Below are 24,224 nucleotides of genomic sequence, written 5' to 3'. Positions count from 1 at the left end.
TGAGGCCAGGAGTTGGAGGCTGCAGTGAGCTATGATTGTACCACTGCACTCCAGCCTGGATAACAGAGCAAGGCCCTAACTCTTGGAAAAAGAAAATCCTAGTTGTGATATGACAGTATAGTTTGCCAAAATGTTAACATTGGAGGGAAACTGAACAAAATGTATAAGGATCGCTCTATATTATTTCTTACAACTGTTATTGGCAGCAAATCCGTATGGGTCTGCAGCAACCTCAATTCTTGCCTCCTCAGAAGAAAGAATTTGACTCAGGGACATAGGCAAAAGGAGAGACCAAGGCAAGTTTTAGAGCAGGAGTGAAAAAAGCTTTAGAGTAGGAACAAAAGGAAGGAAAGTACACTTGAAAAAGCTTTAGAGTAGGAACAAAAGGAAGGAAAGAACACTTGAAAGAGGACCAAGCGGATGACTTGAAAGACAAGTGCGTGCTTTGACCTTTTGACTTGGGGCTTTATATGTTGGCATACTTCCAGGGTCTTGCATCCCTTCTCCCCTGATTCTTCCCAGCACTTGGGAGAGGAGCATGCACCGTGTGTTTACTGGAGTTGTATGCATGCTCACTTGAGGCATTATTCCCTTACCAGCCAAATGTCCCTAGGAAGTCATATATACCAGTTAAACTCTGCCATTTTGTGTGCATGCTTGAGCCCATTCGCCCAGCTTCTGAGATCTTATTGGGACACTACTGATCACCAGTTTCAGGTTTTTCCTCTCTGTAGGGAGACTGCCTTTCCCTGGCACTGGCTGCAACCAATTATTATTTTAGAGAGACGGTTCACAACTGCCTGACCCTCACCTGATGGTTACCTGACATTCCTGGTTGGGAAGGCCCTCTCCTGCCTTGTTTATGTCTGACTAGCTAGCTACATAACACAACTACATGTGAATCCACAATTATCTCAATAAAAACATCAATTAAAAATGTGGATTACTTACTGTGGGATAAGGCAAAGGATCTGAAAGCTATTACAGTGCTGTGTAAGGAACTTTAAAGTCTCATTCCCCAAACAAAATTGTATTGTTTCTTCGTCTGTACTTCCACTATAGTGCTTATCACATTGTTTCCTTTCTTTCTTTCTTTTTTTTTTCTTTTTTCTGAGATGGAGTCTTGCTCTGTTGCCCAGGCTGGAGTGCAGTGGTGCAGTCTCTCTCGGCTCACTGCAACCTCTGCCTCCCAGGGGTTCAAGCGATTCTCCTGCCTCAGCCTCCCGAGTAGCTGGGATCACAAGCACCCACCACCATGCCCAGCTAATTTTTGTATTTTTAGTAGAGACGGGGTTTTGCCATGTTGGCCAGGCTGGTCTTAAACTCCTGACCTCAGGTGATCCACCTACCTCGGCCTCCCAAAGTGCTGGGATTACAGGCGTGAGCCACCGCGCCCGGCCTATCACATTTTCTAATTGTAGACTGTCTCTCTGACCACACTGAGCTAATTAAGGTAGGGGCCATGATTTATTCTTTATAGCCTTAGTGCCAGTTCCATGTGAGCCTCAGTATGCTTTGGCCAAATTAAATCTTTCTGCTCTATGTACATCATAGAGTTTGGCATATAATAAATCTTCAATAAATTTTGTTGGCTTGAACTAGATTGTAGCATAGTGTTGTCAGTGGCATGTGAACCAGAGCAACCCCATCTTAAATAGGGGCTGGGTAAAACGAGGCTGAGACCTACTGGGCCACATTCCCAGATGGGTAAGGCATTCTAAGTCTCAGGATGAGATAGGAGGTCAGCAAAAGATATGTGTCATCAAGACCTTGCTGATAAAACAAGTTGCAGTAAAGAAGCCAGCTAAAATCCACCAAAACCAAGATGGCAACGAGAGTGACCTCTGGTCGTCCTCACTGCTACACTCCCACCAGCACCATTCCAGTTTACAAATGCCATGGCAACATCAGGAAGTTACCCCATATTGTCTAAAAAGGGGAGGCATGAATAATCCACCCCTAGTTTAGCATATATCAAGAAATAACCATAAAAAATGGGCAACCAGCAGACCTTGCGGCTGCTCTACGGAGTAGCCATTCTTTTACTCCTCTCCTTTCTTAATAAACTCGCTTTCACTTTACTGTATGGATTCAGCCTGAATTCTTTCTTGCACGAGATTTAAGAACCCTCTCTTGGGATCTGGATCGGGACCCCTTTCCTGTAACAATTCGATCTCAGAAATGTTAAAAACTTAAAAACTTGAGGTCATTGTGCCCCTTTGACCCAAGGAATGACAGTAATGAAAGAAAGTGACATTGCAGTCTGAAAAGCTGCCTTTTTGTCCTGGGAGATGCTGACTAGTTTCCTGAATTGGCTATTGTATTGCCAAAAAAAAACACAAAAATTTCCTCAAGTATAGGGGGCAACTACTGGAGAAGGGGGCATGTCTGAAGTGAGTGAGTTACACCATGAGAACAAGAAAAATCTGGAGTATTTTCTTAGTTAACATTACCCACTAAAACCAAAGGGTGGGAGGATTATGCGTTCCTGCTGGCTGATGCTGCTGACAGCACACTGTTTGGACAGAATCCCAGGCACTGCTAGCAGAAGCAGAATTTCTCTCACACAAAAACATGGGGGGAAGGGGCAGAGATTCAACCACAGCATTTAGCTATGGAAAATGGAAAACGAAAAATGTCTCTTTAAATGCTAGTGCGGTCACTCCCATTGTCTTTCCAAATTCAGGCCTCCTTAGGGACTTTGCTCAAGTCTTCAAGATAGTTCTTGTCGCTAGTTATGACCAAAATAAAATCACCTCCTTCTATGGGATGATTTGGTAGTTGCTCCCTGAAACGGCCTCTGGCCCCTTCAAAAAAATTCACCTCAGTGACCAGCAGCAGATGCTTGAAATTCCTCTTTGGCAAAAGGAATTCCCCCTTTCAGACTTCACTTTTTTAAATGCAAATAATGTCAGAGTGGGGGTGCCACTTACTGTAATGTAAATCAGTTTGTCAGAGATTATCAATGGATTCTCACAGGAACAAATATAATACAAAATGGAAACTGTATGAATAAAGGACTGCATTAAGGACGGTGACCTCTATAGCCTATTGATAGAGAATAATTTCATTTGGACACGTACTTTCTGGCATTTGTGGAGCAACGCTGATGAAGTGCAATAATGTAAAGGTAAAGTACAATTCGGCACCTACCATGTTTCAGGCACTGAATGAGGTACTGGAGATACAAAGAAATGGTTTCTCACAATAAAGGGCAAGGGACAAAATACGTGAAGGACAATTACAATATGAATGCTAAGTGCTATGATAAAACTATGTATAAGGTGGGACATCTAATGGGGGCTGGGATAGACAGTCAGGGAAGGCTTCTTGGAAGACTGACTGGTAAGTCAGTCCTGAAAGATAAGTATGCATGTCTCGGGGGAAATAGACGGGGAGGTCAGGCATCTCAAATAGCAGAAACTGTGTTAGCAAAGACAAAGAAGTGGGAAAAATCACACTAGGTAGCCATGGAGGTGAACATGCTCCTAAGATCTCCCTTCAAGAAAACCTGCTATAGGAAGTGTAGTTGGTCAACAGCTTCCAGATACCTCACTTTCAGGATCTGCCACTGCATTCATGCTGAGGCCAAATTTTTTCTGCTTTACTCCCAGCCAATGACGTAGCATGGCAGGAGTGTCACTGGAAAAGGGGTCTTGCCCCAAACCCCATGAGGTCTTGGATCTCACACAGGAAAGAATTCAGGGTGAGTCGCAGAGTATAGTGAAGTTAAGATAGTTTATTAGAGATTACTCTGTTACAGAGTAGGGCATCCTCAGAAAGCAAGAGGAGAAACTCCCCCATCTTAAGCATGGTACTTGCTTATATAGGCTGTTAAGAATAGTGTACTTTATTACAAAAGCTTGCGATCAGCTTGTGCTAGGCTATTAGTATCATTATTTTCCTATGTCACTATTGATTTCAACAAGAATTTCCAAGTGTACTATTATCTTCAAAACAAAACCTATTCTTAAACTAAGAATGCTTTCTGTTCTTGTTTTTGAGACAGAGTCTCACTCTGTTGCCCAGGCTGGAGTGCAGTGGCCTGATCATGGCTCACTGCAACCTCTGCCTCTGGGTTCAAGCGATTCTCCTGCCTCAGCCTCCCAAGTAGCTGGGATTACAGGTGCCTGCCACCACACCCGGCTAATTTTTGTATTTTTAGTAGAGACAGGGTTTCGCCATGTTGGCCTGGATGGTCTCGAACTCCTGACCTCAGGTGATCCGCCCGCTCAGCTCCCCAAAGCGCTGGGATTACAGGCGTGAGCCACTGTGCCTGCCCGGCTGCTTTTTGTTCTTAAAATATTTGGACATTTGCATAAGCTCTGGTTCTTTATTTAGTCAGCATCATTAACTCATTCCCTTGACCATAAACATCTTGTGACCAAGAGTGTCCAATTCCCTGGGAATGTAGCCCAGCAGGTTTGGCTTTATCCCACCTGTTTTCAAGATGCAGTCACTCTGGTTAGGTTGCCTCTGACAGGAGTTCTAGAACTGAGCCATTTCTTGCTGATGAGGGATTCCCTAGTGGTCAATGTTTACCCTGGGGCTCTCAACCTGCCTGACAAAGACTTTCTCAGAGAGCTGTACTGCAACCTAAGCTCCTCCTATCCAGTTCTTCCTTCTATCCTTTTCTTCTTTCACAGGTGTTAGAACTCTATCACAGTTTGAAGGCTCTGTCTGTATATTCCTGCTCCCTCTGCCCTTTATCCTTTTGAGGTGTTTCCCTGAATAAACCTCATGTGCATCTACGTCTGTCATTGCCCCTGCTTTTCAGAGCCCTTGAATTGACACAGTGTTTAAGGAACTACCAGTAGTTTAGTGTTGTTGGAGGGTAAAGGGAAGAAGGGTGGGGCAGGAAGAGATGTTCATATCTAGTTTGGGACCCTAAAGGAACGACCTCATAAACTAAGCTGAAGAGAACAGACTTTATCACAGGCAGTGAGAAGCCACTGTAAGGTTTATGTGTAACCAACAACAGGTTCATCTTGCCCACTGCCCAGATAGAGCCAATTTATCAAGACAGAGGAACTGCAATAGAGAAAGAGTTTCATACATGTAGAGCTGGCTAAACAGAAGACTGGGTTTGTGTGTGTGTGTGTGTGTGTGTGTTTTTGTGTGTGTGTGTGTGTGCGTGTGTGTGTGTGTTTTGAGACAGAGTCTCACTTTGTTGCCCAGCCTGGAGTACAGTGGTGCAATCTCAGTTCACTGCAACCTCCGCCTTGACTAGGGTTTTATTATTACTCAAATCAGCCTCTCTGAACATTCAGAGGCTAGGGTTTTTTAAAGACAGTTTGGCAGGCAGGGGGTTAGGGAATGGGTACTGCTGATTGGTTGGAGGTGCAATCATAGAGGTATGGAAAATGGTCCTTGTGCACTGAGTCTGCTTCTGAGTGGGGGCCACAGGACCAGTTGAGTCTTGAGTCTCGGGTCTGAGTGGAGTCATCTGTTTGTCAGAAATGCAAAGGTCAGAAAAAATGTCTCAAAAGGCCAATCTTAGGTTCTATAATAGTGATGTTATTTATAGTAGTAATTGGGGGAGCTACAAATCTTATGAGCTCCAGAACAATGGCTGGTAATAGTTTAACCAGCCACAAGCTGATCACAAGCTAAGATGTAGATGCTATACCTACATCTTAGCAGAATTCAGGCCCCTCTCATAATCCTAAATTTGTGGCCTTTTATTAGTTTTATAAAGGCAGTTTAGTTTTGGGAAGGGCTATTATCATCTAAACTATAAATTTCTCCCAAAGTTAGCTTGGCCCATGCCCAAGAGTGACCAAGGGCAGTTTGGAGGTTAAAGGCAAGATGGAGTTGGTTAGGTTAGATGTCTTTCACTGACATAATTTTCTCATTGTTACAATTTTTGCAAAGGCAGTTTCATAAGCTGAAGAACAATAGGGTCATATTTGTATTTTACAAATATTCTGAGTATTGTGTGGCAGATGGTACAGAGGGACACAATGTTAGAAAAGTGAAGCTTTTATTAAAACTCTGAGGCCAGGTGCAGTGGCTCACACCTGTAATCCCAGCACTTTGGGAGGCTGAGGTGGATGGATCACGAGGTCAGGAGCTCAAGACCAGCCTGGCCAACATGGTGAAACCCTGTCTCTACTATAAATACAAAAATTAGCTGGGTGTGGTGGCGGGTGCCTGTAATCCCAGCTACTTGGGAGGCTGAGGCAGGAGAATTGCTTGAACTCAGGAGGCGGAGGTTGCAGTGAGCCAAGACTGCGCCACTGCACTCCAGACTGGGTAACAGAGCAAGACTCCATCTCGGAAAAAAAAAAAAAAAGAAAACTCTGAAGCACTCCACACTACAAACTGCAGATTGCCTCAATTGAAGAAGTAGCAATGGTATTGGAGGGAAGAAATTGATGGTGGAGGTATGTAGGCAATAATATGGCAAAAATTGGTGATGAATTGGTTGTAAAAACATGTCTTTTTTTGTTTGTTTGTTTGTTTGTGTTTGAGACTGAGTCTTGCTCTGTCACCCAGGCTGGAGTGCAGTGGCGCAATCTCAGCTCACTGCAACCTCCACCTCCCAGGTTCAAGTAATTCTCCTGCCTCAGCCTCCCAAGTAGCTGGGATTACAGGCACACACCACCATACCTTGCTAATTTTTGTATTTTTAGTAGAGACAGGGTTTTACCATGTTGGCCAGGCTGGTCTCAAACTCCTGACCTCAGGTGATCCACCCACCTTGGCCTCCCAAAGTGCTGAGATTACAGGCATGAGCCACCGTGCCTGGCCATAAAAACATGTTAAATTAAGTTTAAAGCTGCCTCCTAACATATTTTAAGTTCAGCCTAAACATTTCTCCATACACAGTGAACTGTAGCCTCACTGGATATATAAATATACTATAACCTACTCTGTGCCAATCACAGAGCTTTAGCCAATCACAGGCAGCCAACTGTTCAAACTGTGTTTAAATAAGGCAAACACTGAGCTGGAACCAATCCAGCTGTTTCTGTACCTTACTTCCATTTTCTGTACATTGCTTTCCTTTTTCTGTTCATAAATATTATCTGACAATGTGGTAGCTCCAGAGTCACACTGAACCTATTCTGGTTCTGGGGGCTGACTGATTCGTGAATTGTTCTTTGCTCAACTAAACTCTGTTACATTTCATTTGTCTAAAGTTTTTTTGTTTGTTCGTTTTGGTTTGAGACAGGGTCTCACTCTGTTGCCCAGACTGCAGTGCAGTGGCACGATCTCAGCTCACCACAACCTCTGCCTCCCAGGCTCAAGCAATTCTCCTGCCTTAGTCTCCTGAGTAGCTGGGATTACAGGCACATGCCACTACCGCCCGGCTAATTTTTGTATTTTTAGTGGAGACGGGGTTTCACCATACTGGCCAGATTGGTCTTGAACTCCTGACCTCAAATGATCCACCCACCTTGGTCTCCCAAAGTTTGGGATTACAGGTGTGAGCCACTGTGCCTGGCCTAAAGTTTTTTTTTTTTTTTTAAACACACATGAAGGGAGCGTATAAAAGGAACTAAATTGCCAGCATTATATAAAAAAGATAGGGTAAATTCCTCTGTCAACCATGATGGAGCAACAAGTACAAGACTTGCCTTTCTAATGTAAACAACTAGAAACTGGACAAAATACATGAAACAACTTGTTCTAGACATTGAACACCATGCAGCATGGAATTGCAATATCTGAAAGAAAGGAACCAAATGAAGAGATACCTACTGACTGGGGGCACTTTCCAGAATGCAGTGTGAGAGGGGAAATCCAAGCATAGCACAGAAGTCTTGCTGAGTTGAAGAGATGAAGATTGGAGTTCAGGAAAGCTGAGATAGCTGGAATTTGGGAAGAAGACTACCAGAGAAGAGTGAGCTATGCAGAGAGAGCTAAAATGATCGGCTGACTTCCTTTGGCTGACTATAAATTAATGCATACATAATAGGGTAAGACCCCACAAGATTAGGCAAAGGATAACTACCACAGAAAGGAGTACCACCAAGGAGCTGTTAGCTGAACAATTCTCAGAGCTTTCATAGGACTGGGAGATGTTTGAGTTCTGACCACTCAGAGTGGAGAAACACCAGGGTATTCAGTAGAGCCCAGAAAGTTTAAGCCTCAATAATAGGTCTAAACTCGCCCTAGATGAAAGGCTATTCTAGACCTGCCATAAGAGAGCTAAAAAATAAGCCATGAAAAGATCAGCCTGAACTGTATGGAACTTAATTGTGTGTCAAAACAAAACTCAGCATGCCTTAAAGAAGACAATAAAATCCAGACCTCAACAATGTAACATTCATAATGTTCAGCATCCAGTCAAAATTACTAAACTTGCTAAAAGGCATAAAAATGTGACCCATATCAGGAGAAAAATCAGTCAATAGAAATAGACCCAGAGGCAACAGAGATGAGGGAATTAGCAGACAAGGACTTTAAACAGCTATTATAAGTATGTTAATATACTTAGAGGAAAACATAACATAAAGAGGAGAAAAATAGAAGACTTTTTATTTTTATTTATTTATTTATTTAGAGACAGAGTCCTGCTCTATCACCCAGGCTGGAGTGCAGTGGCGTGACCTTGGCTCACTGCAACCTCCACTTCCCAGGTTCAAGCAATTCTCCTTCCTCAGCCTCCCGAGTAGCTGGGATTACAGACATGCGCCACCACACCTGGGTAATTTTTGTATTTTTAGTAGAGATGAGATTTTGTCATGTTCACCAGGCTGGTCTTAAACTCCTGGCCTCAAGTGATCCACCTGCCTCAGCCTCACAGAGTGCTGGGATTACAGGTGTGAGCCACCATGCCCAGCCAGAAGACTTTTTAAAAAGAACCAAATGACAAATATTGTATGATTCCACTTATATGAAGCAGTTAGAATAGTCAAATTCACAGAGACAGAAAGTAAACTGGTAGTTGCCACGGGCTGGGAGGGAGGGAGAAATTGGGTGTTTTTGTTTAACGGATACAGAGTTTCAATTTGGGAATATGAAAAAGTTCTAGAGATGGATGGCAGTGATGGTTGCATAACAATGTGAACGTACTTAATGCCACTGAACTGGACACTTAAAAATGGTAATAATAGTAAATTTTATGTTCTGTATGTTGTACCACAATTTTTTTAAAAAAGCGCCAAATGGAACTTCTGGAGCTAAAAAATACAGTATTTGAAATGAAATATTCACTGGATGGACTTAGCAGTAGATTAGAACCTACAGAAGAAAAGGTCAATGAACTCTAAAAAATAGCAATAGAGACTGTCTAAACTGAAGTATAAGGAGAAAAAAAAGGCTAAAAATGAACCGAGCCTCAGTGGCCTGGGAGAAACAATATTAATGATCTAACAGATGTGTACTTGAAGTCTGCAAAGATGAGATTAATAGCAGATTAGATGCTGCAGAAGAAAAATTAGTGAACTTGAAGGCATAACAATAAAAACTATCCAAAATGCAGCAGACACAGAAAAAAAGACTGAAGAAAAAGAAGAAAGGAAAACAACCTCACTGACATGTGAGACAATATCAAGCAGTCTAGCATACTCAAAATTGACTTTCAGGAGAGGAGAGAAAGGGTAGTAGCAGAAAAAAATATTTGAAGAAATAATGGTCAAAATTTTTAAAACTGGGCAAGGCACAGTGGCTCACACCTGTAATCCCAGCACTTTGGGAAGCCGAGGTAGGCGGATCACTTGAGGTCGAGAGTTTTGACAAAACCCCGTCTCTACAAAAAATACAAAAATTAGCTGGGCATGGTGGCATGCACTTGTAATTCCAGCTACTCAGGAGGCTGAGGCACAAGAATCACTTGAACCAGGGAGGCGGAGGTTGCAGTGAGCCAAGATCGTGTCACTGTACTTTAGACTGGGTGACAGAGTGAGACTCTTTCTCAAAACTTTTTTTTTAAACTGGATGAAAATTATAAACATACAGATATGCAGCTATGAGAAGCTCAATGGTCCCAAATAGAATAAATATTAAGGAAATCATACCAAGGAAAATCATAATCAAATTCCTATGAAACAATGATAATGAGAAAATATTAAAAATAGCAAGAGGAATTGGCTTTGCAGAGGAGCAAAAAGAGAGAGAAATAGAAAGAAAATAAACTGCAGACTTCTCATCAGAAATTATGCAAACCAGAAGAATATGAAATGACATCTTTAAAACACTAAGGAAAAAATGTCAACCTAGAATTCTGTACACAAAGAAAATACAGGTGAAATATGAAGGTGAAATAAAGACTTTTCCAGATAAATAGCTGAGAGAATTTGTTGCCAGCAGACATGAACCACAAGAAATGTTCAAAGAAGTTATTCATGCTGAAGGAAAACAATACCAGATGGGAACTTGAATTTATACAAATGAATAAACAGCACAGCAATGATAAATATAAAATACCTTTTCCTGGCCGGGTGTGGTGGCTCATGCCCGTAATCCCAGCACTTTGGGAGGCTGAGGCAGGTGGATCACCTGAGGTCAGGAGTTCGAGACCAGCCTGGCCAACATGGCGAAACCCAACAACAAAATGCCCCAAATGAGGACAAAGGTTTTTCAGGAAGTGCCTATACTGGAAAGGCTAGATCGTAAAACATTAAATACAACTGTGTATCCAAGACCCAGTTTGGGTTAATATATGGGATAACCAGGTAGTTTTAACCTCTATGGCTAACTCCATTTCTCTATTTATATAAACAGAGCTAGTACTGCTATATTGACAACTACCAATATACTGCTTTGTCCTTTAAGATCTAACCACCACATAAGACTTAAACCCCTAAACCAAGGTTTTCCTTTTTTTTTTTTTTTTTTTGAGACAGAGTCTCGCTCTGTCACCCAGGCTGGAGTCCAGTGGCACAATCTCAGTTCATTGCAAGCTCCGCCTCCCAGGTTCACACCATTCTCCCGCCTCAGCCTCCAGAGTAGCTGGGACTACAGGCGCCCGCCACTACGCCCGGCTAATTTTTTGTATTTTTAGTAGAGACAGGGTTTCACCATTCACAGGATGGTCTCGATCTCCTGACCTTGTGATCCGCCCGCCTCAGCCTCCCAAAGTGCTGGGATTACAGGCGTGAGCCACCGCGCCCAGCCTTAAACCAAGGCTTTCTACCAAAGCCAAGAATACTGCATCTATGCAGGTTTGAGAAGCTTATCACACACCCACACTCACACACACCATGTCACCCCGTGGAGGTCAACTTCCAACTCTGCATTGATGTTATGCCTCTATATCTTTTATATGTATTCTTTCTCAATTTTCCTATCATGCAAAACAGTAGAAATCTGAACACATTCACGCTTGGCTCTGGTTACCCAGTAGTACTACTTGCATACAATTAAACGAGAGACCAAAACTACAGAACTAGTGCATGCGGTAGGGATTACAGGGGTAGGGAACAGATATAAAAACACAGATGTGCAGATTTAACCAGAAACCTCAAGGATCCGCGTCCCATGTCTGGAGCAGAAGGCTACTGGCCAGCTTAGGTCCCTTCACCCATCACTCCTATTATTGGACCCCAAAGCAGGGCCACTGCTTTTACTTTTGAACCTGGGGTCCTCAAAATTAGTGTGTGAAAAGTCCATAAACACAATCTGGTTGAAAACAGATGATGCAACACATCTAAACTAACTGTCCAACAGTTAAATTCGTGTTACAAAAAAACTAACTTTAAGGCCAGGCACAGTGGCTTATGCCTGTTACAAAAAACGAACTTTAAAGCCAGGCGCGGTGGCTCATGCCTGTTACAAAAAACTAACTTTAAGGCTGGGCATGGTGGCTGACGCCTGTAATCCCAGCACTTTGGAAGGTAGTGGCAGGTGGATCACCTGAGGTCAGGAGTTCGAGACCAGCCTGACCAATATGGTGAAACCCCGTTTCTACTAAAAATGAGAAAAATTAGCTGGGCATTGTAGCATGCACCTGTAGTCCCAGCAACTTGGGAGGCTGAGACAGGAGAATGGCTTGAACCCGGAAGACGGAGGTTGCAGTGAGCCAAGATTGCACCACTGCACTCCAGCCTGGGTGACAGAGTGGGACTCTGTCTCAATAAAACAAAAAACAAAAAAAACCTTTAACATTTATTTTTGTAACTTTTTCCAACAGGGAAAACAACACACTCCTTGGGGAAAGGTGAGGGGTTGACAAGACAGGCCCTGGGTACATATTCTTAACCGCAGCACCTGGAGTTGATAGGTCTGCCTAGGAGAGAACATAGGCACTGCCACACCACCACAGGGGACAGCTGCTATCTGGGGTCAGCAGACCAGCTCACACACTACGCAAGGTTTCTATAGATCTAAGACATAAAATTCTTCATCACAAAACAAGTCCCACTCATTTTCAGAGTCTGTCAGTTTGTCGTCCCCACCTGCAGCCTAAAGCATAAGCAACATCTCACCCAGCTCAAAGGTGACAGCCTCTTCTTCATCGTCAAAGGGGTTGCTGTTCGCTCCTTCCTCAAAGAATTCCCAGAAGTGGTTCCTTTGTTGGCCTGGGTTTCTGCTTGATGTTCCCACTTGCTGTCTCTGTGGCTCCTCTCTACGGCCATCAGGGTACATATGCTTGTAAAAACAGTTCTCTCCAAATGGGCAGCTCCCACGTCCTTCATCAAAATACTTGCATGCCTTGTTGCTCATTGCCTCCTTGTATTTCTGAATGAGTTTCTGCTTCTCTTCTTTCTCCTCCACCCAGTACTCACTTGGAATGACAAAGTTAGATGTGATTCGGCATTGTGGGCAGGACTTGACGATCCTGCTCTCAAATTCCTTAGCACTCCTCCACTTGCGAATGCACTTGAGACAGAAGGTGTGGTTGCAGTTGGAGAGGATCCCGAAGCGGTGCTCGTTGGGGTTGGCTTTCTCATAGACCACCTCCATGCAGATCCCACACACCTTGTCCTTGCTGCGCTGCACAGCAAATGAGAACTCCATGTCTTTCTCATGGGCTTCAATGCACGCTTGTATATGCTGTGATCTCTGGGCAGCATCCATCGGATGCAGGACCTGCAGCCCACACATGTCACATAAATCTCCGTGGAGATACACACAGTTCTCCCCATATCGGCACTGTCCCACTGCAGCATAGGGGCACAGCTGCTTCTTTGTTTCCACGGCGGTTTGCTCTTCCTCTGATTCTTCCTTGGTCACTGAGCCCTGCAGGGGTGCTTCAGTGCAGGAAGGCACAGTACGGCCACAGTAGGGTTGCCCAGGAACAAACTCAATGGCATTCGCCCAGTCCTCTGAACCTGCTACTACAGTTGCAAAATTTGAATTTCTTGACTCAGCTTCGTTTGTATTCATTTCAACAAGTGGTCCAACTATTGATGAGAGACTTGAGGAAGCAGCAAGGGATGACTTTGTAGTTAGCTCTGTAGCAGTTGCTTCTTCCTGTTTCAATGGCTTGCTATGTTCACATCTGCAGCGGTCTCCATAAACACAGCACCCTCGCTGAAAATACTTGCACACTACACCACACAGACGGTCAGAGAGGTCATGCGAGTAGCGACAGTTATCTCCTTCCTTACAAATCCCATACTTAAAATATCTACAAGTGACCTGTTTAGTCCAGCTGTCGCCGCTGCTGTCGCCGCTGCCATCGCACGCGTCGCTGCCGCCGCACGCACCGCTGCCGTCATACGCGCCACTGTCGCCCCTGCCGCCACTACCGTCGCTGCCGTCGCTGCCGCCGACCCCTCCGCCCGCCCTCGGGGACGGGGCGGTGACTGTGGGGATCGGAGTCGGGGAGACTGCTGCCGCCGTCTCCGCCGCCTCCGCCGCTGCTGCTCCTGCTCCCGATGTTGTGGCTGTTGTTCCGGGAGCTGCAGCCTCCGCCATTACTGCTTATCCCACGCTCCAAAGGCCCCAGAACGCCCCGGAACGCCCCGGAACTTCCGGAATCACAGAGGTCCAAAAGCCCCGGAACTTCCGGGATCATATAGGGCCAAAGGACCCGGAACTTCCGGGATCACATAGTTCCGGTCCGGCTGTGAGAAGAAGATGGCGAGGACAGGCGAGGGGAGGGGAAGGAGACTGAGGCACCCGCTCGGTCCCTGCCGGCTCTGCCTCTTTTTGTTTAAGAGAGTTTTTTCTCCTTCTGCATGTATCCTTTGTTGGGAGACAGTTCTTCATAGGTCTTGTGTGCTTGCACATCTTGCAAGTAAGGCACTGTACTGTCCTTTGTTCCGGACTATCTTTTCCAGGATATTTGTATACAGTGCATCCTTGAAAGACAGAGGTAGTGTCTCCCTCCAAAGAAAAGGGCAAGCATGCTTACTGTCCACTATAATAAAAATAGCCTCCCTCTGGAGTGAAGGGCAGGAATGATTACTGCCCATTATGAAAGGTTCAGATTCCCTAAGTCCAGGGTTTCTCTCCTATAATGTAATCCACTGCACGTGCAGGTGTTACCTGGTCCTCTTTAGAGTTGCCCTGTGAGAATGTGTTGAGCAGGCTTACAGATTTGGCTGGTAAGAGGACAACAAGCACTGATTAGATTCAGACAGTTTATTACTTACATAGACAGAAAAAGAAACAACAGCATGGTGTCAGCTCCCTGCATTCCTTGTCCCACAATAGGACACCCAAACAAAAGAGGCCAAATGACAAGAAACATGAGTGTTGGGGCACCCTGTTGCTGAGGAGTCATTTCATTTTTCTTTCTTTCTTTTTCTTTCTCTCTTTCTTTCTTTCTTTTTTTTTTTTTTTTTTTTGAGACAGTCTCGCTCTGTTGCCCAGGCTGCAGTGCAGTGGGGCATGATCTTGGCTCACTGTAACCTCCACCTCCCGGGTTCAAGTGATTCTCCTGCCTCAGCTTCCCGAGTAGCTGGGATTACAGGCACACATCACCACGCCAAGCTAATTTTTGTATTTTTAGTAGAGACAGGGTTTCACCATGTTGGCCAGGCTGGTCTGGAACTCCTGACCTCAAGTGATCCACCCGCTGCGGCCTCCCAAAGTGCTGGGATTATAGGCATGAGCCACCGCGCCAGAGGAGCCATTTCTATACTGCTGCTAAGTAGTTTTATAGCCTGCAGCTTAGCCTCCCTAAGGGAGAGGGGACAAGCTGGAAAGTCCCACACCTCATTGGAACCAAGAGGCGATGAGAAACTCCCTCAAGATAGAGAGCCGACAGGGTCCGGGCACCGAAGTTGCCGGCGGCCGTGCGGCCTCCCAGGCAGGCCCACAGTCACGTGCGGGGACCCGGGGTCGGACGGCCGGGAGGGGGCCCCGCGCGCAGCTGCAGAGCTCTGCGGCCTGTGCTACCAGGTCGGGTAGCGGCTGCGGCGCCTGCAGGACCAGCTGGCCGCCCGCGACTCCCTCATCGCGTGCCTCCACGCCAGGCTGGCCGCGCTGGAGGGGTACACTGCGCCGTCCCTGGTGGATGCGCTGCTGGAGCAGGTGGCGCACTTCCGGGAGCAGCTGCAGCGGCAGGAGAACGGCGCCGCGGAGGCCCAGATGCGCCAGGAAATTGAGAGGCTTACTGAGCGACTAGAAGCGAAAGAGAGGGAGATGCAGCAGCTGCTGAGCCAGCCACAGCACCAGCGAGAGAAGGAAGTCGTCCTGATGCGGAGGAGCATGGCGGAGGGCGAACCGGCCCACCCCGCCAGTGACGTTCTGTGCAGCTCCTTGGCCAATGAGACCCACCAGCTGCGGAGGACGCTGACCTCCACTGCCCACATGTGTCAGCATCTGGCCAAGTGTCTGGATGAACGACAGCATGCACAAAGGAACGTGGGGGAGAGAAGTCCTGAAAGTCAGAACATACAGGTAGGGACACCTCTGTCCAGAGTGTTACTGAGGAAGAAAATCGACTGTTAAAACAGAAGGTGACTCACGTTGAAGACCTCTATGCCAAGTGGCAGCTATACGATGTCAGCAGGGACGAATACATGAGGGGGCTCCATGCACAGCTCAGGGGGCTGCAGACCCCCCCCCCCCCATGAGCCCGAGCTGATGAGGAAGGAGATCTCCCGGCTCAACAGATAGTTGGAAGAGAAAATAAACGACTGTGCAGAATTGACGTAGAAGCTGGCAGCCTCGAGGACGGCACGGGATGCTGCACTGGAATGGGTGCAGATACTGGAATAGCAGATTCTCGCTTACAAGGATGACTTCATGTCAGAAAGGGCAGATCGGGAACAGGCTCAAGGTAGGATTCAGGAACTGGAGGAAAAGGTCACCTCTTTGCTGCACCAGGTGTCCTGGAGACAGGATTCTCAAGAGCCAGACGCCGGCTGGATTCACGCTGGGAGCAAAACTGCCAAGTACTTGGCCACCGATGCAGTGGAGCTTATCGTGCCTGGTGGCTGGAGGCCTGGGACTGGGTCCCAGGCGGTTGGAACCCCCTGCAGAGGGCGGGCATCCTGGCGCAGCCCAGAGAGGCCAGGGGGAACTTCAGTGCCCTCACTGCCTGCAGTGCTTCAGTGACGAACAAGGTGAAGAGCTCCTCAGGCACGTGGCTGAGTGCTGCCAGTGACCAAGATTCCACCCATGCCCTTGCGGCCCCCTGGCCCGGCACAGCTGCCCTCAGGGACAGGGTGGGTGCTCTCAGATGCCATGGATTAAGCTCTACTGAGATCCAAGTCCCCTAGAATAGGTGCGGGGCACTGTGATCGTTCACTTTGGTCTCCCTTTGGCTATGGAACAGGCTGGGTCACAGGGAACTCCCAGCGAGGCTAGAGGCTGGAGGTGGAGATGGGGTCAGGAACATCTGGCAGAGGGAGGTCCTAGTCTTGTGTCTCCATCAGGCTGAAGCCAGAGCAATCTGGGGCTGGTGTGCCAGCCCCTCCCCCAGCCTGCACCTGGGTATGCCACAGCTTGCCAGAAAGGCGTGGCTGCCTATGGGAGCCACTTGTATGGTCCCCAGGGTGGAAGCCCCATCCTGTTCTATAGAATAAGGTGTCTCCTCTCTGCCTTGAACCAGGAGGTTTGTCAAATGGAGTATTGTGGCTGCACATCACACTAGGGGGCCCATCCCCATCATTGCAGAGCCACATGTCTGCACTGAAAAACTGCATCACAATAGCATTTGTCATATATCCAGAAGTTAAAGCACACTTATTTTATCCACCTATTTTTATAATAAATGTTCTTGCTACTGTGAAAAAAAAATAGAAAGGCAAGTGAGAAATGGCGGTATGGCAGCTCCTCACAAGACTGCCTATCCTCTCATGCTTGGGGAGGATCACAGAGCCTTCTGCCACGGCATGGATCAGCTTGCAGTTGAGCTTTGCTTACATGGCCTATGAGGATATATGCACGGTTTTCAGGGCACCAGCACAGAGGAGTTCCCCTACATAATCGGGGCTCAAGAAACTGGTGCCAAAATGTTGATATCTGGTGACTGACCTTTCTACAGTAAAACACTGTCCATCTCTGAGTGTCATGTTTTCTACCAGATTCCATGAAACTGTAGTGGGCTGACTTGTTAGCTTGTTGAGTAGGACAAAATCTCAGACCTTTTATAGTTCTTGACAGCTTTAGTGAGGAGGGCGGGATACTGACAGAGACATGGCTTTCTAGAAGGAGAAGGATGAGGATATTGTGGGTAAATTTAATGAAATTTGAGGGCCGGGCGTGATGGCTCACACCTGTAATCCCAGCAATTTGTGAGGCCAAGGCAAGCAGATTTCTTGAGCTCAGGAGTTTGAGACCAGCCTGGGCAACGTGGCAAAACCTTGCCTCTACGAAAAATACAAAAATTAGCTGGGCATGGTGATGTGTGCCTGTGTTCCCAGCTGCTCGGGAGGCTGAGGTGGGAGAATCGCTCGAACCTGGGAAGTCGAGGCTGCAGTGAGCCAAGAGCGCGCCACTGCACTCCAGCCTGGGCAACAGAGCGAGACCCTGTTTCAAAAAAAAAAGAAAACAAATTTGAAGAAAGTCGCTGAAATATGTTGACCAAATTATCTGCTCAACTAGGCCATAAATAGTTCTTCACTTTATTGCCTGTTCATGATGGGGATTGAAGAGGTGGATGCAGGCTGAGTACCAGCAAGCAGATTCAAAGACCACTGCTCAAATGGTGCCCTGGTTCTTGCTAACTCTAATGCAGGTGTAGAACTTCCTGAACAATTTGGAGTTACCCTCAGGTCTGCCCCACTGTAACAACTAGTACTAGGTATTGTCTGGTGCACATAAAAGATTCTGCCCTCTTTTAGACAACAATTGCAGAGATGTGTGGAAGGAGGGAAATTCATGACCACTATGGGCAGAAACCAGGCACATCATTAGGAGTTTGGCTGGTTCACTTGGGAGATGAGGAAGTGCGGCTAGTAATGCTTGTCAAGGAAGAATGGCAACGTAAACTGGGTCTTATGGCTCAGCCCCTCCTGCGGTCCATCGTGTCTGCCTTAGATCCACTAGGAGAGAACAGTAGAAGGTCTTAGAGGTTTTTTTTGTTTGTTTTTTTTTTTTTTTGGTTTTTTTTTTTTGCAATAGATCCTGGCTGCAATAAGGGAGCTGTGGGCCTTTCAGGGAGATTTCCCTGAAACAGACAAACTCCTATGGGAAACCGTAGATGAGGCATTGAGTAGTATTCAGGCTCTCACTGCCTTGAATTTGGGTTTACAGTGCTGGCAAAGGTGACCCACTGGAGAATGAGAAGCTGACCCCATCAAACCTAGGTAGATGCTGCTGCCCTGGAAAACTTCGCTTGTGTTGAAACCAGGTGAGAACATAAGAGATGTTATCTTGGTGATGGGGCAGCAGAGGCCCTGAATTAAAGTGGAATTCTCAAAGAAGGTTGCTGCTGTGCAAGCCTGGGTCAAGTCAGCTAGGGGTCACAAACCCAATAGCTTCAGCTATAAAACATGCAGCTATGACTGAGTGAAGGGGTCTCCAAAGCTGAAATTGGTAGTGTCAACCATCAGGATCTCTATTCAGTCAGTATAAAGTGTGAGTAGGAAAAAACACTGAAAGATTTTTGGTTGCACCATAAGCTTCTGCCACACTCCCTAAATGCAAAGTTTTTTATTTAATAGCTTAGAGCCACTCTCTCCCTCCATGTCCCTGATCCCTCCCCACTCTTCTACCCCAAACTCAGCTACTTTAAAAAGAAAGATTATTAGAGGTGGGGCCAAGATTTTCCTGACCCTAAAGAAAATTGAAAACCATGTCTACTCATCCAAGGGGAATTTGGGGAAAGTGAGAAATTCAAACTGCTATGGCTCTGTTGAATACAGGTGCTCAAGTCACTATCCTACCCAGACCTGGGGAAGGCAAAAGCCCTCAGATCCAGCTAATGGTGCTTAGGCAGGGTTCACAGTGAAGAAGGAAATCTAACTTGTGGGTAGGGTCCATTGGGCCAGTTCAGTGCACTGTGGTTTTTACTTCTGCATCTGAATGTACAGTAGGAATTGATGTATTGTATCCCCATCCCATAAGTGCCAGGGTTGAGTGAGGGGAGATTTTCAGGATTCAGAGGAGTGGCATATAGAGAAATGTTTATGGGAGGTATACACTGCTTCTCAGCCCACCTCTCTGTCTCCTCCCTGATGGTCCAACAGAAGCTAAAGAACCCCAGGAAGAGAAAGGGAAATCATAGCCTTGATTAAGGACTTAAAGGCATCAGAGGTGGAAAATAAGGCATTATCTCAATATAATAACCCTGTATGGCCAGTGAAGCAGGTGGTGAAGGCTTACAGTAGATTATTGCTGACTGATCTGTTGTTGCTTTCAGAGCCATGGCTGTTCCAGATATTGCAACTACAAATTAATCCATTACACAGGCTGATAACACCTGGTTTGCTGTCTTAGACTTTTACCAGCACCTTCCCACTGACACTTGAGGATCAATATCAGTTCACATTCACGTAGCAAGGCCTCCAATATATGATTATAGGCATTCCCCTAGGGGTACCTAAGTTCTCCTGCCATTTGTCACCAGTGGGTGAGTCAGGATTTAGCATGAGTTCTTCTACCTTTTGATGTCCGAAGCTTTCACTATACAGATGGTGACTTGTTGGCTTACCAAGCAAAATTTCTTGGAACTATGTGGATGGATTTATAACACTCAGTCCCTGTGGTGGTCATGGAAAAACTGCTATCTCTTTGGTCCCCTAAATCAAAAAGGAAGTCCAGTACCTTATTGGACTCTTAGAGTATTAGAAACAGTATGTGCCTCACTCAGTCATGCTACTTGATCTTTATATCAGTGAACCTGCCAAATCAGCATCCTTTGAGTGGGGCTTAAACCAATAAATTGTGTTTGAAGCTGTCCTGCAAGTTGTGGCATGCTCTCTACCTTTAGGGTGCTATAAACTTAATGATCATGGCAGATGATTTTGCTGATTGAAGTCTCTGACAAAGGGAGGCAGCTTCCACCCAGAAATACCCCTTGGGGTTTGGGACTAGTCGTCTCCCTGATATGGTTACTAGAAACAACCCTTTTGAAAACCAGCTATTAGCTTGCTACGGCTCTTGTCAAAACTGAACACCTGCCTCATGGAGGCCTTGTGACTCTCCAGCCTTATATCCCCATTTTGGGGTGGGTTAACTCAAACTCAGTGACTAACAGGTCGGAATGGGCCCAATAAGCTTCCCTTGTCAAAAGGAAATGTATTCAAGAAAGCAGCTGACCTGGTCCAAGCAGCATCTTGACTTAGATGAAAAAGTAACAGTTATCCCCATTCAATTATCCCCCACTTGGTTGCCTGAAGCAAAACCACTGACTCCATGGGACCGTTGATTCACAGAAGTTTCTCTAATGCCTGGGCCTGGTTCACTGATGGTTCAACTAAACTGAAACCCAGTAGTGTCTACTGGAATGCTGCAGCTATTCGACCTCACCACCAGCTATGCAGAAGCAAAAATGAATGTGGCTCCACTTAATGGGCAGAGTCAAGGCCATTCTCATAGCTCCGACCAATACTTCCTTTGATGAACCTTGTTATGGTTTTACTGACTTCTTGACTATTGCCGATGGCCTATTTGTTTGGTTTGCCACATGGAAAATGATAGCCTGACAGTTTAAAGACATCTTTCTCTGGGGCCATGTACTGTGGAAACAAATGGCTGGCTGATCAAACCATCTGGGTCACTCATGTAGATGCCCATGGAAAGGCCTGTTCTCTGATGAGACCAAGCAAGCTGCTAATCAAACCTGCACTGCCCAGATTACCATCATTGCTGCCTGGACTAGACACGGCAAGACAGCCACCCTCATAAACTAGGCACAAAATGAAGGACTTTATGTTTCTGATGCCGAGGCTATCGTGGCATACCAGACTTGGGACTCCTGTCTCATAGCAAAGGAGCCCACATTGCACAGGGCACTGCTCCTGCAAGATTGACCGCACCACATTGGACCTTTGATCCCCTCTTGGGCCTATCAGCAGGGCCTCACTGCTGTTGACACTTTTTCAGGTTACTGTGTTGCTATTCCAGTCTGATCAGCAGAGTCCAAACAGATCACTGTGACCCTTGAAACTAATCTATGTCATGTGATCAGCTTCCCAGACCATTTGCAGGCCGACAATAATGCCCCTTTTATTGCAAAAGCCACACACAATGGGCTGATTGTCAAGGTATTCAATGGACCTTCCATGCTCCCTACCATCCAAAGGCATCTGGTATTGTTGAGTCTGATCAACCTCCTCCAAAATCTACTTTAAAAGATTTCTGGCCGGGCATGGTGACTCACGCCTGTAATCCCAGCACTTTGGGAAGCTGTGGCGGGTGGATCACGAGGTCAGGAGATCGAGACCATCCTGGCCAACATGGTGAAACCCCGTCTCTACTAAGAATACAAAAAAATTAGCTGGGTATGGTGGCACACGCCTATAATCTCGGCTACTCGGGAGGCCGAGGCAGGAGAATCGCTTGAACCTGGGAGGCAGAGATTGCAGTGAGCTGAGATCACGAGATCACGCCACTGCACTCCAGCCTGGCAACAGAGCGAGACTCCATCTCAAAAAAAAAAAAAAAAGGTTTCTGACTCTACTTCCCTCACCTCCTCCTGGTCTACATGCCTTAATAAGGCAATTTGTCATTGAATGCAGTTGTCCCCAGAAAAAAAAAAAACTGTCCCTTCTCAGCTATTGCCTAAGTAATGATCAGGACAAAGGGGTCAGGTTTATAGAGATCTATTTTGAAAATTCAATACTTTTGTAATCATTTCTAGGCATGCTGCTTCTTTCTTTCCCTTAAGGGAAACCCAAGCCAGCCTGGTTGGTTTACTCTCTGTATGGCAGCTCAGCTCAAAATGGACCTAGAGTATTGAAACTTAATTCTAGTTCAGCCATCTGGATTCTCTTGCTGGACTGCCATCATCTAGATCATAAGGATAATGACCACTTGGTTGAGTACACTGCTCACCGGCCCCCCACCCTACAATGACCCACATGGGAGGGCCAAAGTGGGGGAACATACTGGGTCTCTATAAGTTTTATTAAAATATCCTTGTCCCTCTTGCATCTGACCTTTGTGGACAAAAGGTCTGGATATGCGTAATGGATGACTGGGAAAGGGTGAAGTTATAACTGCTGGAATAGGCCACACCAATTTTATGGAGGTGGAGGGAGAACAACAATGCCAGTGCCTGGGGAGGAAACACCCCAGATGCCAAGGCGAACAGGGGAAGGAGGAACATTAATGATCTTTCATCTTTTAGAGACACCCCTGGAGCCTTCCTCTTGAAGGAAAAATTCCCTGGTGTGGCTCTCCATAACTGTTTTGCTTGTACACTTTAAATTAAACTGACTTCTATGTCTGCTGTCCTCTGCTAGACAGCTTTAACTACAATTTGGTCACCATTGTCCTTTGTCCTACTGAGAAGTCTATCAGAAACAGTGGAAGAGCTGACTTTAACACAAAGAGCTAACTTTCACACAAACCACCTGTCAGCATCTTCAGATGTCTTCCCCAATCCCATTCTTATAGCTGTCTCTCGGTCATTCCATGAGGTGACACATGCCCTCAAGCTGGTGGTGTGGACAAATAGAATAGGCTGGATTGACTGCCCTACAGTCAAGCTCTCCAAAAATGAGGACCAGACTCAATTATTCAGACAGAACCCAGAACTCTAAGGTGTATCACCTGCCCAGAAGGCCACATTGGAGACACTGTTCATCTGTGTTCCCCAACTGATGTAGGTTCTACTTGCAGGAGGAAGGGCAAAAATTGTCTAGCTTGTATTGACAAGTATCTTCATCATGTCCCTTGCTGGTGAGTAGAATAATAATTCATCCTTTCAGTGAGGGACCTTTTATCTCTCATCTCTGCGTTGCTTCTTGTTTGCTTTTACCCCAGGGCAGCCAAAATATGAATGCAAGTTTGCCAACTTGGTTTCAACTTTCTTTTTGTCCTGTCTCCCCTCACATTTAATTATTTCACCTCTGCTATGCATTTTAAGGGATATTTGTTATGTTTATCCAGAATTCCCATATATTTGTAGTTGAAGGTTTTTAAAAATAACTGGCTTGTGGCTGGGTGCGGAGGCTCACACCTGTAATCCCAGCACTTTGGGAGGCTGAGGCGGGCAGATCACCTGAGGTCAGGAGTTTGAGTCCAGCCTGGCCAACATGGCAAAACCCTGTATCTACTAAAAATACAAAAATTAGCCGGGTGTGTTGGCACATACCTGTAATCCCAGCTATTTGGGAGGCTGAGCCAGAAGAATCACTTGAATCTGGGAGGCAGAGGTTGCAGTGAGCCAAGATCCCACCACTACACTCCAGCCTGGGTGACAGAGCAAGACTCTGTCTCAAAACAAAACAAAACAAAACAAAAAACCCCAAAAATACTGAAAAATAAAAATAACTGGCATGAAACAGAATGCCTTCTCTGGTTTACTCCTTTCTTCTTTTCTGCATAGCTCTAACTCCTAGCTTTTGCCAATTCACAGTTTATGCTTCTTTGTAATCTGAGTTTGTTCTGACCCTTAATGGTCCCAGCAGTAATTCATGGCCTTTCTCTAAACATGTGCTCATCTTTAGCTTCCTTTGCCATCTGTTTCATGTTTTCCAGTTCAGATACCCAAGAGAGGTAATATGATAAAGCCAGTTTGGCTTTTGGGCCAGGCTACATCATAGGTTCCTGGTCTACCTATGGATTGACTATCACTCATTGGTCAGGTGCCCACCCTGGCCAAGTCTGCTATCATCATGGTTGGTGGTAGGGAAGGGGGCACACTAGGTCATATGGAACAAAATAGGAAGCTGTCTCAATAGGAGCTGAAGGTGGGGTAGGTTCCCTTAGAAGGGACTATGGGCAGAGAAGTCAATGGATATATCTAGAGGTTGCTCTGGGCA

General features: G+C 46.0%; 2 pseudogenes across 1 annotated transcript, besides 6 other annotated features; one reads left to right on the top strand and one right to left on the bottom strand.

Moving 5' to 3' along the window:
• Nucleotides 1,744-2,695: an enhancer, noted in NCBI's record as "OCT4-NANOG-H3K27ac-H3K4me1 hESC enhancer chrX:40704855-40705806 (GRCh37/hg19 assembly coordinates)". NCBI's record gives its function as "activates a minimal SCP1, AML or CMV promoter by ChIP-STARR-seq in primed H9 embryonic stem cells {active_cell/tissue: H9 hESC(primed)}" and the evidence as "EXISTENCE:reporter gene assay evidence [ECO:0000049][PMID:30033119]".
• Nucleotides 1,744-3,647: a biological region, named in NCBI's record as "hESC enhancers GRCh37_chrX:40703903-40704854 and GRCh37_chrX:40704855-40705806".
• Nucleotides 2,447-2,741: a silencer, noted in NCBI's record as "tiled region #525; HepG2 Repressive non-DNase unmatched - State 7:EnhWF, and K562 Repressive non-DNase unmatched - State 24:Quies". NCBI's record gives its function as "represses a minimal TATA promoter and a strong SV40 promoter by Sharpr-MPRA in HepG2 and K562 cells {active_cell/tissue: HepG2 | K562}" and the evidence as "EXISTENCE:reporter gene assay evidence [ECO:0000049][PMID:27701403]".
• Nucleotides 2,696-3,647: an enhancer, noted in NCBI's record as "OCT4-NANOG-H3K27ac hESC enhancer chrX:40703903-40704854 (GRCh37/hg19 assembly coordinates)". NCBI's record gives its function as "activates a minimal SCP1, AML or CMV promoter by ChIP-STARR-seq in primed H9 embryonic stem cells {active_cell/tissue: H9 hESC(primed)}" and the evidence as "EXISTENCE:reporter gene assay evidence [ECO:0000049][PMID:30033119]".
• Nucleotides 10,490-14,043, bottom strand: MKRN4P (makorin ring finger protein 4, pseudogene; annotated as a pseudogene).
• Nucleotides 13,121-13,621: an enhancer, noted in NCBI's record as "H3K27ac hESC enhancer chrX:40693929-40694429 (GRCh37/hg19 assembly coordinates)". NCBI's record gives its function as "activates a minimal SCP1, AML or CMV promoter by ChIP-STARR-seq in naive H9 embryonic stem cells {active_cell/tissue: H9 hESC(naive)}" and the evidence as "EXISTENCE:reporter gene assay evidence [ECO:0000049][PMID:30033119]".
• Nucleotides 13,622-14,122: an enhancer, noted in NCBI's record as "H3K27ac hESC enhancer chrX:40693428-40693928 (GRCh37/hg19 assembly coordinates)". NCBI's record gives its function as "activates a minimal SCP1, AML or CMV promoter by ChIP-STARR-seq in naive H9 embryonic stem cells {active_cell/tissue: H9 hESC(naive)}" and the evidence as "EXISTENCE:reporter gene assay evidence [ECO:0000049][PMID:30033119]".
• TNIP2P1 (TNIP2 pseudogene 1) lies at nucleotides 15,101-17,080 on the top strand (annotated as a pseudogene). Its single transcript, NR_027761.1, has one exon. The product of NR_027761.1 is annotated as a TNIP2 pseudogene 1 (transcript).
• Nucleotides 17,081-24,224: the final 7,144 nt, after the last annotated feature.

This window comes from Homo sapiens, chromosome X (assembly GCF_000001405.40).
Source record: "Homo sapiens chromosome X, GRCh38.p14 Primary Assembly".
In the NCBI taxonomy this organism is placed as follows: Eukaryota; Metazoa; Chordata; class Mammalia; order Primates; family Hominidae; genus Homo; species Homo sapiens.
Note: the sequence above shows the minus strand (reverse complement) of the source record. Positions and strands in the feature narration are given on the sequence as shown.